Raw genomic sequence first — 14,490 nt, 5'->3', positions numbered from 1 at the left:
TGAGCACTTTCTGCACTGGTGGCAGCAGATACACCTCTGAAAACACAATTCCACTGGAACGTGGGAGGACGCATGTCTGAGCAGCACTTGCTCTGTGTTTCCTGTCCTGTGACTTTTAACAGCCTTCTTAGTGAGACGGCTGACAAGGCTGGTGGGGACAAAATAAGATGGTAAGGACAGCAGGGATGAATTACATATGGGAAGAGCATGGGGCAGTATAGGACTTAGTCTTAATGGGCCATGGTCTTAATGACGGTTGCTTCTACCTAGCAGATAGCTGTGGGTGTTTCAAGGAGGTGAAGGATGCTGGATAAGACACGTTATCACACAGAGTTTCCTTTAGTTACTATCAGTGCCTACTGGTTGTCCTGTCTGAAGGAGGGGGCTGGGGGTGGGCTCTGGAATGGCTTCTTCCCTTCATATCCAAGTGTGGTGAAATGTACCCTTTACCATCATGCCTTATCCTTTAGGGGCCACAAGGAGGGGCACAAGTGACCTGAAACCCTCCAGGCCTCCTGTGACAGACAGTGGGGCCTGAGGCTCAGAGGGGGTCCCCTCTGTATAAAAGCAACATTAAAATCTGTGAGCAATGACATTAACTCGGTTATCAAAGGAAAACAATGTACATATCTGATTCCATTAATCAATTGTCATGGTTTACAAAGCACTTTCACATATATCACGTAATTTTACTGCCCTTTATCTGATCATTCAAATAAGGTAAACGTTTTGTTTGGGAAACACGCCCTCTCTTATTGCAGGTTTGAAAGGCAGAACAGAATCTGGGATGATGAGAGTACATTAAACTGTCTCCTCTCTGTAGGATCCTGGGCAGAAAAGCCAGTTTGCATAGCTGAGTTTTCCCAGGTTCCTTATGTTTTCACCGTCTCAAGCACCAAAACATTTTTTATTTGAGCCACGTTGGATGCAAATCTTTCTAAATTTCATATTCTTATAATAGAGGATCTCTCTCATAAACACTTCTTTCTTTTCTTTTCTTTCTTTCTTTTTTTTTTTTTTTGAGACAGAGTCGTCTCGCACTTTCGCCCAGGCTGGAGTACAGTGGTGCGATCCCAGCTCACTGCAACTTCTGCCTCCTGGGTTCAAGCAATTCTCCTGCCTCAGCCTCCCGAGTAGTTGGGACTGCAGGCGTGAGCCACCACGTACAGCTAATTTTTTGTATTTTTAGTATAGATGAGGTTTCACCATGTTGGCCAGGCTAGTCTTGAACACCTGACCTCAGGTGATCCACTCACCTCGGCCTCCTAAAGTGCTTGGATTATAGGCGTAAGCCACTGCGCCTGGCCAGATCTCTTTCTCTTAATATAGGTAACTGGATAGATAACCGTATGTATATGTTGCCCCAGAAATGTTGCCCTAGAAAATATTCCAGGGACCTCATAAAAAACGGCATTTTTAGGATTTGACGTTCATTGTGGAAACTCTCTGGTTGGAGGTTTTAGCATTATATTGCCTTGAATATAGCAGGAGGGCCAAAAATATTTCTTAATTAATTGACAGAGTCCCCCTATTTAAGTTCATGTGATTCATGACCCCTTGCTGAAGCAGCAGAGTTTGTCAGCAGGGGTGATGTGCAGGGCCTGAGTCCTCATCTATAAAACCAGGGCTGGTCACTGATGTCCCTTCTACTGTCTATGATTGTCACTAACTTCCATTAGCTCCTTTATTTAAATACCACAACATGAAAACTGCAACGTTTGGTCAGTACTCATACACATGCACATGAGAGGGACAAGAGGGGGCATTTTTAAACAAAAGTAACTCTGCAAATGTATCTGCAACCTCTGCGATCAAGAATGCACTTATCACAGGGTCGGGATCCCTATCAGGAGCTTGAGACCAAAAGTGGTGGCTAAGGACCTCGGGATGCTTATGTAGGAAAGCAACCACAAAACTCTCAGCGATTTCAGTTTTGTGTTGTCCCATAATATAGAAATGCTGCCTGCTTTTTCTTTGTCTAAGAACATTAGAACATGCCTGCCTGCCTTTGCCACATTTCATAACCCACGAAGAAGAGTCACACACCAGACTGAGTCACTCTCTTGACATCTTGAAGTACGGTGCATGGGTTGTGTTAGGAAAGACTGAATGGAAGGAAGCTTGATGCACCAGACAGGCTCCTCCAGATAACCTGCATTGTCACTGGAAGTGTGTCAGACATTGCCGGGGGAGCAAATGCCCACACGGGTCACCTGTGCATCGTCTCAGATATGGTGTCATCCGAAAGCATGAGGCCTACTCTGCTGTTCTCCATTGGATTGTTTCAGGGAGAAGAAGAGAAATCTCTTCAATGGGGCAGGGACAGAATTTTTATTCTGATGAAATAAAAATTTCCCCATATCAACTGATTCCTGTCTAGATAAACATGGGTCCCCTCTTCCCATGTGAAAGAAACTTATCCACACAGCACCATGAATATGTGTTTACCTTCAAGAGTACAAACTGCACTGTAGAAAACAGTTCCTGCATAAAGACTTGATTCTAAAATCCTTTCTGATGCACAATTTGATGATTGTGAGTGGGGGAGATGAGGAGGAAAAGCTCACTGGCTTTTCTTTTTTCAAGATATTAGAAAAGGATCACTGAATTGTTTATGACTTAAGTTCATAAAGGATGAATAATTGATTCTAAGATTCACTTACAAAAGATTCACTAGCATTCACTTACAAAAGCCTGCACATTGGTACCTGACTTAACCAATAAGGCTCAATAATTTTAGTAATTCCTATTTCTCTCTCGTAACTAAAACAACCTTGGAAAACTCAATGCAGCACTGGAGCACTCCCTGTGCCCTTGGTCAGCGCTGGCAAAGCTCTTGTGAATTAACTCTGCACCCTCAAACACTCTTCTTCCTGAGACTTCTCAGCTTCATGGGACTAGGGATGACAATACAATGGCATCTTAATGCAAAGTAAACAAATTAATGAATGGTGGGCAAAATGGGCTTTAGAGCTAAAAGATATGGGGCTTTCGCTTTTGGTGTCTTAAAAAAATAAAATCTGCAAATGATAAAAAGCTAAGCCCCAAAGTATGAGAAGGCAAAGTCCTAATTCCCTAATACCTCACCTGTGAAGCCTGGCAGAATAAGCCATCCTAAAATATGCTTACTTTAGCATAAGGACTATTTTGAGCTAAAGACAACTGGAAACAGCAGGTGCAGGAGGGGACTTCTGACCTCCTCTTTTCTTCCTGAAAGAAGGAGATGAAACTCCCATGTGAACAATGCCCTCCCCACACCAGGAGGAAAGAAACATTCTTATCACCAGAGACAGGGAGTCAAGGCCAAGAGAATTCTGTACCAAGAGACTTTGTTAAAATAATTCCTTTCTTCCTTTAGTCTCCCCACATATTTCAGCTGCTTTTCCATAACTGTTTCTGTTTGTTCAACCTAGTATACAAATATGTGGGTTTTGTCACTTCTTGGGTCTTCATTTTCTCATAGGGGCTCCCATGTACATGTAGAAATTGATATCTTTTCTCCTGTTAAATCTGTCTCATGTCAACTTAACTCTCAGGCCCAGCCAGAAATCCTGAGAGGGTTGGGGTAAAGTTCTTCCTCCCCTGCAAAAATGAAATTAAATTACTAGGTGGGTTCCTGGTAAATCTTGGCCTGAACACAGTTTTTCCTTCATGATCATCATTTTTCAACTGGACCTCAGGGAAGTAGATTCATCCTAACCCTCATTCTGTGACAGACTCCTACTAGTAGTTCATGCATAGCTCACTTTTATTTATTTTGTTAATTATTTTTTTAAAGTAGTATAATAAACACCTGTGAAACCAAAATAAAAAACAAAAGTGAGGACCTTGACAACCACCCATAGCTGACTCCATGTGAGTTCCCATCTGCGTGTGTGTTCCCACAACCCAATGTAACTATCACTCCCTCACTTCGCTTTTATATAGTTTTAATGCATCTCTTTGTGTGCCTTTAAAAGACAGATTATTTCAGTTGTTTTTAACTTTATAGAGTGCGTCATGTTCTATGTAATCTTTCAGGACTTACTCTTTTCTTGTAATATTAGACTGCTAGGGCCCATTCAATATTGCGCATTGCTGCTGTGCATTTGTTTGAACTGCTGACTAATATCCCATTGTGTGACTATAGTGTGGTGCATTCACGCAACCTCCTGTTAAAGGCATCTGGGTTATTTCTAATATTTAAGGCATTTTTACCAAGTGCCAGACAATGCCATAAGCAGTGGGTATACCCTATTTCATTTGTTCTCCAGCTCAAGACAGGATCTTTCACTTCAATCTCTCTCTGAGAAAACTGAAGCTCAAAGACATAGGTCACTTGCCTGATATCAAACTAAAGCATTAAATGAAGGTATGAGGATGACATGCCTTCATGGTGGTATGAGGATGATCTGCCTTTATGGTATGGGATTGTCCTTCCACTCATGGGGAAGAAGAAGCCTCATCTTATTTTATGCATCAGTACAGTAAATTGATCCTATATGTCAGCAAGTAGGAAAAGTAAAACTCTTCTCTTGGCCCTCCAGAAAGATTTCTTAATTGAATTCCAGGAATCCAATGTTCTGTTCACAGTTTGAAATACATACACACATGTGTGTGTACACACACACACACACACACACAAGCATGCTGCTGTGGGGAAAACAGAATTTTCTCCTCTGAAAGCTTCAGCACATGCCAGTCTGTGAAGTGTGCTGCTTCAGGGTGTCAATGTTAAGTAAGTATTCTTTCAAACAGAAAAGAGAAATTCTCCTCCATTCAATCTCTCTTTATAACTCTGAGATAAGGGAAGCATTTTAAAATAGCATTTTTCAGACATCCTGGATGATAAGGTGGTTTGGCTGTGTTATCAGATATCTGCTGTCCCCAAAGGCAGATAAAGTGGATGAACGTGATGAGCAGTAAGGTGGGCTAGGGAGGTTGCGGCCATAGCACAACATTCACCTGAGGGTGAAAACATCAGCCGCATCATTACACTGACATTGTAAATGGTAAGTGGATTTTAACATGTCCAGTTTTCTTTGAAAGTAAAAATTGAATGACAGAGCCCATTACCTACCCCCTGAGGTCTCCTAACTGCGACACCACAGTGGCCATAGCTGCAGCGACTCCACAGACACTGAGCCAGGGTAAAGTGATTATGAGTTAGGTAATTTTTGTCACAATTTTCTGGAAGAACCAGAGATAACATACCTTCTTCTGCTTATGATTTTGATTTATGGGGCTATCAATACACATATGTAATAGTCAAATTTATTTTGGGTTGGGGTGCCTGTGTCAAATGTACCAGTGTCATCGGTACTCTCAGGAAATTTGTCTCCATTTAGGTGAAACACTAATAGAGATTTGTAGCCGCTGGGATAACACAGCCTCTTTGAAGGAGAGGACGGCTTCAAAGTCATACAAAATATATTTTATCATTAAGGTTAGAGTCAGTTCTAGAACAATCTAGAAAACTACTCATTATTGTTTTTTAACTTTTGAACATGCAATGACCTTTTAAATGAAACATTTCGGGATAGTCATCTGTTGGTAATCAACAATCATATTTTCAAGTTTCTACTGTAAGTGGGAAAATGTATTAGGCACTCAATAGATCCTCACGTGATATAATCTTTTTCTTCAAGTTAATTTTTTTCTTTTCTTTTTAACTTTCCAATTGTGATGTACCTAACACACAGAAGACATATAATGTTATTTGTACATTTTTTTTGCAAAATAACAATTGAACATTCATGTAATTACCACCCAGATTAAGAAATAGAGCCTCTGGTTCCACTGTCCTCCATTTGGTCAGAAATAACTAATATTCTGAATTTAATGCCTTTTCATTTCCTTATATCTCTTTATTGTTTTACCATATACTAACAGACAACATATGCCTTAGTTCTGTCTGTTTTTTGACTTCATATGAATGAAACCACATGTAGGCATGTATCGCTGCTTACTCTACTGCCTCATCCTTATGAGATTCCTCCATCATGATATGTGTACCTATAGGCACTAATTTTCACTGATGTATAGTATTCCCACAGTTTAGATGCCACAGTTTAGTTACCCATTATATTTTCTTTTTTTTTTTTTTCCTTGAGATGGAGTCTCGCTCTGTCGCCCAGGCTGGAGTGCAGTGGCGCCATCTCTGCTCACTGCAAGCTCCACCTCCAGGGTTCACGCCACTCTCCTGCCTCAGCCTCCCGAGTAGCTGGGACTACAGGAGCCCGCCACCATGCCCGGCTAAGTTTTTGTATTTTTAGTAGAGATGGGGTTTCATCGTGTTAGCCAGGATGGTCTCGATCTCCTGACCTCGTGATCCTCCCGCCTTGGCCTCCCAAAGTGCTGGGATTACAGGCGTGAGCCACCATGCCCGACCTATATTTTCAATGGACATTTGGGTTTTACCTTTAAGAGCTTTAAGAGCTTCTTAATTTTAGTGCAGTCATATTAATTAATGATTATCCTTAAGAACTACATCCTTTGTGTCTTATATGCAAAATTCTTCCCTACCTCATGGTCATAGTGATAGTCTCCTCTGTTTTCTTCTAACTGGCCTACAAAGTCAGCTTTGTCATGTATTGTAGGTCTGTTTTCATTATTCTGTTCTGTTACACCAAACCACATTTTCTCAATTACTAAAGCTTTATATTAGATCTTGATTATCTGGTAGGCAAAATGGAACTCACTCTGAAAACATTTTTAGCTTTAAAAACAATGCAGTTGTTCCTTGGTATCTGTGGGGGATTGGTTCCATGACCTCCCTGCAGATAGATAACAAAATCTGCAGATTCTCAAATCCCTGATATAAAATGGTATAGAATTTGCATAACCCCCACACATCCTCTCATATACTCTAAATCATCTCTAGATTACTTATAATACCTAATGAAGTGCCTACACATCACTTCATTCACATGAATTCAACATAGTACTTGGTGTGCGGCAAGTTCAAATTTTGTTTTTTGGAACTTTGTAGAATTATTATTTTTTGAATATTTTTGATCCATGGGTAGTTGAATCCACAGATGCAGAATCCATGGATATGGAAGGCCGACTATATAAGGAAAACAGAAACTAGAACTTACTTTGCTCTGGGTTGATGAACTAATCCCGGAACCTCTTTATTAGTTTTAAGTCTTACATTTGAGCTGGCACTTTTTTCCTGAAACACATAAACACAGACATGTGAAAGACAGGATTAGAATCCACAATTAAACAAGTGTATGAGTTTTCATCACACAAACGTTCAATCTGTTTGGGGCCCTATACTACGGCTGGTTACCTCACAAGGGCAAAAGTCCTTGCAAAGATGACACACAGAACAGGTAGAACCTGCCAAACAGGGAGCACTGCTATGAAAAGTGAAATTAGCTTTATAACAACTATGACTCTGTTTAGAAAACAATGTACAGTTAATATTTAATTCTTTAACACTAATAGTAATGAATCAAAGAACAGAAGATCTAGTATCAAGAGAAACAGCAGCAATACAATCACAGCCTTTGTTCACTTGCTCAGGTTAACTGACTTCCGTGCAATTTATTTGTAAAAGACAACTGCACTTACTGAGATGTAAAGTTTGCTGAAGGCCCTAGCCGTGACAGGAACAGGAACATGACTAAAACCCACGACAAATGCTGAGATTGAATTCAATTGAATTACTACAATTCAATCCTAGCCTGTATTCAAGAAACACTTCTTTGGCTTTTAGCCTGACCTAATTTCTTATTCCCAATAACTAGCCACATGGGAAGGAAATACTCTCAAATCTTAAAATGCTAGTATATCAGTAAGGACATGATCTCAATAATACTACTGCTCTGCATTTTTCAACGTTATCTTAAAAAGATATTCAAGGTGCTTTATAATTTGCTCACAAAACATACCCCTGAAATGAAAGGAAAGACCACTCTGAACCTATGTAACAGGTGACTATATACACTCGAGGAACTTGAGGTAAGGCCACAATTAAAGACCAAATCTAGAGTGAGGAATAAAAACTGCCATGGGCCGATGCAACATTCTCATCACATGCAGAGTGATGTGGGATGACACATAAAACAGATGGTCCCCAAATGAGCTCTTTTTGAGGTCCTATTTCTCCTGGGACAGCAGAAGCCACTTAAGTCAGTGAAACTCCAATGACTTACATATTCTAGTTGTTTGTTATTAACTATCAAACATGAGCTTATGTGCCTATCATCAGTACTCCAAAAAATATGTGATTTTGTTTGTTTTCTTTTAGGAAAAGAAACAATCATAAGTTTCTTGCAGTCTATCTTACCTTCTTTACCTTATACTAACTTCAGAATGTTTTCATGAACATTTAAGAAGGATAAAACATATTGTTCTGTCTGTTGACGTATGTCAGGGAACAGTAGATGAACACTCCTAATCTTTTACAAAGCAGGTGGGAGAAATTAGAAAACCCGAATGCACTCACAACAGAAGGGCAGGGCCCATGTCCTTTCTTTACCACATGGGGTAAGGGGCCTGGCACTTCATGAGCGGCACTCAGCAAATACTGGTGAATGAATGAACGATGTCAAAAAGTCATTCACGTGTTTTTAAAAGTTAGAGGTAAGAATAGCTCAAATGTAGTCTCTTTGTAGGACTGAAGGCGTAAGTTCCTTCCAAGTTGGTCCTTTTCTCCTTTAAATCTTATGTTGTCTTAGATTAAACACTGAAAATGAACAAGACCTTATCCTCTTTCTCTTTCACATAATTTCCGCAACTCTTTGAGCTTAAAAGAAATGCACTGTAATTTTAAACATTGCTGAGGCAGGAAAGTGACTTCTAATTCTAAAAATGCAAAGGATATACAGTGGTATGTTGTTTATATTCCATTTATTTAACTGTACCCTTGAAAATTATGTTGCCTCAGCAAGTCTTTCTTAAAAACCCATTCTGTGGTTGCTAAGTAAGGAAGGATCTCCCCAAACAACAGAGGCTCAATGGACAAGCAGGACTGAGAAGAAGCCGGCCCTCAGTAACGCATCACTCCCAGGAGTGCGCTTCCAGGGCCAAAAGTGAGACAGAGGCAACAGGAAGAAAAGCAGTTTAGGATTTCCCATATAATTCCAAAAAAACTTTCTTCTACTATGTATTTACAATGTGTTTGCTCAGTTTTACAAATTTTCTCTCACCAAGACCAATAATAACCACTCACTGAGCACTTACTGTAAGTCAGGCATTATTCTAAGCACTTCCAAATATTAATTCATTTTAACATTCACTAATATTTATATATATTAACTCATTTTTATGCCTACAATACCTCTCACGGTTGGGTACCATTATTATCCCCATTTTACAGATGAGGAAGCTGAGGCATACAGCGGTGAAGCACTTACCTGAGACCATACAAGTAATAAGCAGTAGCGCAGGGATTTGAACCCAAGCAGTTTGGCCCCAAACTCCATGCTGTTCACTACTAGCTCAGCATTTCTCAAACTTTTTAGGGTCAAGACCCTTTTACCTATAATCTCCAAATTTTGACACATTTCATTGTACAACATAAAAAAATCCCATTTGTTAAAATCACCATCAATCTCATCAGAAAACCATTGACTGAAGCTGTCAAGCTCATGGTAGTGAATATAAGTTTTCCAAACTTATAGATTTTGTTTAAAGTTTGAATTTTATCACTGGCAAGAGATACTGTCAGTTATTTTTCTTGAAGTGTCAGGCTCCCTTACTCTTTTTTAAGAAAATGATTTACCAAATACCAGGTCTGAATATCCATAATTTATCTGCCAGAGATATATATTTTTAAAATAGAGAAGATGTCCTATAAAAAACAATGCCTAGTTCAGCTTTCAACTCAATCAGCTATAGAGGTGCTTTTCTCCATGATAACCGTCTAACCTGGACATGCAGAAGAAATGCTTTATGCATACTTCCCATTTCATCACACAGGCTATTAAAAAGATATGCATCCAAAGTCTCAGGACACAAAATCAAGGTACAAAATCAATGTATACCGTGGCTGGGCACAGTGGCTCATGCTTGCAATCCTAGCACTTTAGGAGGCTGAGGCAGGCAGATTATGTGAGGTCAGGAGCTCCAGAGCAGCCTGGCCAACATGATGAAACTCCATCTCTACGAAAATATAAAAATTAGCCAGGCATGGTGGTGTGTGCCTCTAATCCCAGCTACTTGGGGGGCTAAGGCAGGAGAATCGATCATGACCTGCACTCCAGCCTGGGCAACAGAGCAAGACTCCATCTCAAAAAAAAAAAAAAACCATACAAAAACAAAAATCACTAGCACTCCTATACACCAACAACAGTCATGCCAAGAGCTAAATTAGGAATGCAGTCCCATTCACTACACACACACACACACACACACACACACACACACACACACACACAATTCCTAGGAACACAGCTAAGCAGGGAGCTAAAAGATTTCTACGAGAACTACAAAACACTGCTCAAAGAAATGAGAGATGACGCAAGTGGAAAAAACATTCCACGTTTATGGATAGAAAGAATCAATATTGTTAAAAAGGCCATACTACCCAAAGCAATTTATAGATTCAATGCTATTTCTATTAAACTACCAATGTCTTCACAGAACTAGAATAAAACTATTTTAAAATTCACATGGAACCGAAAAAAAAAAAAAAAAAAAGCCCAAATAGCCAAGGCTGTCCTAAGGAAAAAGAACAAAGCTGGAGGCATCACACTACCTGACTTTATGCTACAGGACTACAGCAACCAAAACAGCATGGTACTGGTACAAAAACAGACACATAGACCAATGGAACAAAACAGAGAACCCAGAAATAAGCCTGTACACCTACAACTATCTGATCTTTGACAAACCTGACAATAACAAGCAATGAGGAAACGATTCCCTATTCAATAAATGGTGCTGGGATAACTGGCTAGCCATATGCAGAAGCTTGAAACTGGACCCCTTCCTTACACGATATACAAAAATTAACTCAAGATGGATTAAAGGCTTAAATGTAAAACCCAAAACTATAAAAACTCTGGAAGACAACCTAGGCAACAGCATTTTGGACATAGGAATGGACAAAGATTTCATGACAAAGACATCAAAAACAACTGCAACAAGAGCAAAAATTGACAAATGGGATTTAATTAAACTAAAGAGCTTCTGCTCAGCAAAACAAAATGAAACAAAAAACAAAAAACTATCATCAGAGTGAACAGACAACCTACAGAATGGGAGAAAAATTTTGCAAACTATGCATTTGACAAGGTCTAATATCCAGCATCAATAAGGAACTTAAACAAATTTACAAGAAAAAAACCCCCAAACAACCCCCATTAAAAAGTGGACAAGGCCGGGCGCGGTGGCTCACGCCTGTAATCCCAGCACTTTGGGAGGCCGAGGCGGGCGGATCACGAGGTCAGGAGATCCAGACCATCCTGGCTAACACGGTGAAACCCCGTCTCTACTAAAAATACAAAAAATTAGCCGGGCGAGGTGGCGGGCGCCTGTAGTCCCAGCTACTCGGGAGGCTGAGGCAGGAGAATGGCGTGAACCCCAGGGGGCGGAGCCTGCAGTGAGCCGAGATTGCACCACTGCACTCCAGCCTGGGCGACAGCGAGACTCCGTCTCAAAAAAAAAAAAAAAAAGTGGACAAAAGACATGAACAAACACTTCTCAAAAGAAGACAGACATGCAGCCAACAATCATATGAAAAAAAGTTTAACATCACTGATCATCAGGAAATGCAAATCAAAACCACAATGAGATACTATCTCATATCAATCAGAATGGCTATTAAAAAGTCGAAAAATAACAGATGCTATTGAAGTTGTGGACTTATACACTGTTGGTAGGAGTGTAAATTAATTCAACCATTTTGAAAGACAGTGTGGTGATTCCTCAAAGATCTAAAAATAGAACTACCATTTGACCCAGTAATCCCATTACCGATTATATACCCAAAGGAATATAAATCGTTCTATCATAAAGACACACACAGGCACATGTGCATTGCAGAACTACTCACAATAGCAAAGACATGGAATCAACCCAAATGCCCACCAGTGGTAGACTGAATAAAGAAAATGTGGTACATATACATCTGGAATACCATGCAGCCATAAAAAAGAATGAGGTCATGTCCTTTGCAGGAACATGGATGGAACTGAAGGCCATTATCCTTAGCAAAATAACAGAGAAACAAAAACCAAATATCGCATGTTCCCAATTATAAGTGGGAGCTAAATAATGAGAAGACATGGACACATAGAGGGGAACATCACACACTGGGTCCTATTAGAGGGTGGAAGGTGGGAGGTGGGAGAGGATCAGGAAAAATAACTGATGGGTATTAGCCTTAATACCTGGGTGATGAAATAATCTGTACAACAAACCCCTATGACACGCATTTACCTATGTAACAAACCTCCATGTGTACCCCTGACCTGAAAATAAAAGTTAAATAAAGGTATGCACACAAGCCACAACATTTTATAAAATTAAATAATTTTTACTGCTTCATTGAGAGCATTCTTAAGTGAAAACAGCAGTGGAGAATACAATGTCTACTAAGAAGGTTTGATGCCAATGCCTTGGTTTAGGCTAAGGCACCAGCAGTTTACCTTACTGTTGCTGTTGCAGCATCAGTGCATATGTCAACACCATGAGAAAAGCAAATAGCCTCTTAGTATCATTAGGAAAATGGCTTCAAGAACTCCCTGAGAAAGTCTCAGGGACCCCCAGACCACACTTTGACCATAGTGCCTCTCTATTTCTTTTGCAGAGAAAAGAACTATTAATTATTTAATTATGCTATATGGCTTATTTTTAAAAACAAATATTTAACAGCCTTATGGGGGTAAAATTTACATTCTATAAAATTCCCCCACTACAACTATATGATTAAATGATTTTAGTAAATTTATAGAGCTATGCAGTCATCACGACAATCCAGTTTCAACATAGTGCCATCATCCCAGAAAGTTTCTTTATCACCACTTACAGGTCATCTCTGCTCTCATTCATAGTGCTGGGCAACCACAGATCTGCTTTCAGTCTCTAGAAATTTGCCTTTTCTAGATTCATGTCATGAAATCACACAATATTTAGCCTTTTGTGCCCAGCATTTTTCACTTGGCATAATGTTTTTGAGATTCATCCAAATTGTAGCATATAACAGTATTCTATTTGTTTTCATTGCTAAATAATATTCCAATGTATGGATACACCACATTTTGTTCATCTCCCCATCCCTTGATGGACATTGATATTGTGTTCAGTTTGTGGTTATTATGAATAGCGATGTTATGAACATTCAGATAGAAGTCTTTTTGTAGACACGTTTTCATTTCCCTTAGGTAGATTCCTAGGAGTAGAACTGCTAGATTACATAGTAAGTTTATGTTTCATTATTTAAGACCTTCCAAACTGTTTTCCAAGGTGGCTGCACCATTTTACATTCCCATCAACAATGCAGAAGGGCTGTAGTTTCTCCACATCTGCACCACCAACACTTGGCATTGTCTTTTCAACTACTGTCATTCTAGGTAGTGTGTAGTGGGATCTCACTGTGGGTTTTATTTACTTGAAAACATGATTTTTTAAGGCTTGTTATATTGGTGTATTCTCCAGAAAATCCACCTTAGGAGCATGTGTATACTTAACTTGTTGGCGCATTTGCATAAAGAAGTCAGTTTTATATTTGTTTATAAACATTTAACTTCTACTTTGGGATTTGTGTGTTGGGAAAGGGTAGGTTTAAAGAGATCTGCTTTCTTAAAAAAAAAAAAAAAAAAAAAAGAAGAAGAACAAGCAAACAAACCAACAGGGCTGGAAGGAGGGGGAAGGAGAAAGTGGTGGGAGCAGTGAGACACGTGGTTCACTACCAGCAGCAGCTCGGATAAAGCAGACCCAGCAGAGGGGGCTGAGAGCTATGCAATATCTGAGGTGCTCCAGAAATAAGAAAAGAGAATAAATTGCGAGATGACAGACGAAGCAACTAAGATACTGTTTCTTTTAGCAAGAAAAAACTATTTTGATGGTATTTGACACTTGTGAACTAAGTATTCTCCCTAAAACAAACCGAGACCAACTGCGACTAAGATAAAGGCTTTTGACAGGGTCTCCACAGGCAGTTCGTTTTTCATCAGCCATCCACACTTGAATCAGAATCATCTGGGATGTGTGTTAAAATAGAGTTTCCCAGGCCCCACTCAAGACATCTCAAGTAGGAGTCTGTGGAAGTGAAGCCCAGGAATCTGCATTTTAAACAAGAGTCTTAGGTTATTCTTCACTCAAAAAAGTTTGAGCACGTCTATTTCAGCAGAAAGATCCTTTACACTTAGTATTTCCCCATTTGGCTCTCTACAGAGCCAGCTTTCAACCTAAGCCTTGGGGCTCTGTGGAGCTATCTCAGGGTCGACAGGGAGACCCACCAGACCAGCAAACTCTTTAACTTTTTTTATTATTAATATTTAGGGGCTCCATCAGTTGGGAAAAACATCCATTTCTCAAGAATGTTTGCACTAC

At 39.7% G+C, this 14,490-nt stretch overlaps 1 protein-coding gene across 1 annotated transcript in view; it reads right to left on the bottom strand.

Annotated features, from left to right (window-relative positions):
- Nucleotides 1-14,490, bottom strand: part of C1orf21 (chromosome 1 open reading frame 21) — a 241,991-nt gene that overhangs the window by 31,125 nt on the left and 196,376 nt on the right. The window contains exon 4 of the mRNA NM_030806.4: nt 7,080-7,156. Coding sequence (NP_110433.1) covers nt 7,080-7,156 — 77 coding nt within the window. The remainder of the gene's footprint in view (nt 1-7,079; nt 7,157-14,490) is intronic.

This window comes from Homo sapiens, chromosome 1, assembly GCF_000001405.40.
Source record: "Homo sapiens chromosome 1, GRCh38.p14 Primary Assembly".
Lineage (NCBI taxonomy): Eukaryota > Metazoa > Chordata > Mammalia > Primates > Hominidae > Homo > Homo sapiens.
This window is presented reverse-complemented; position numbering and strand designations above follow the sequence as displayed.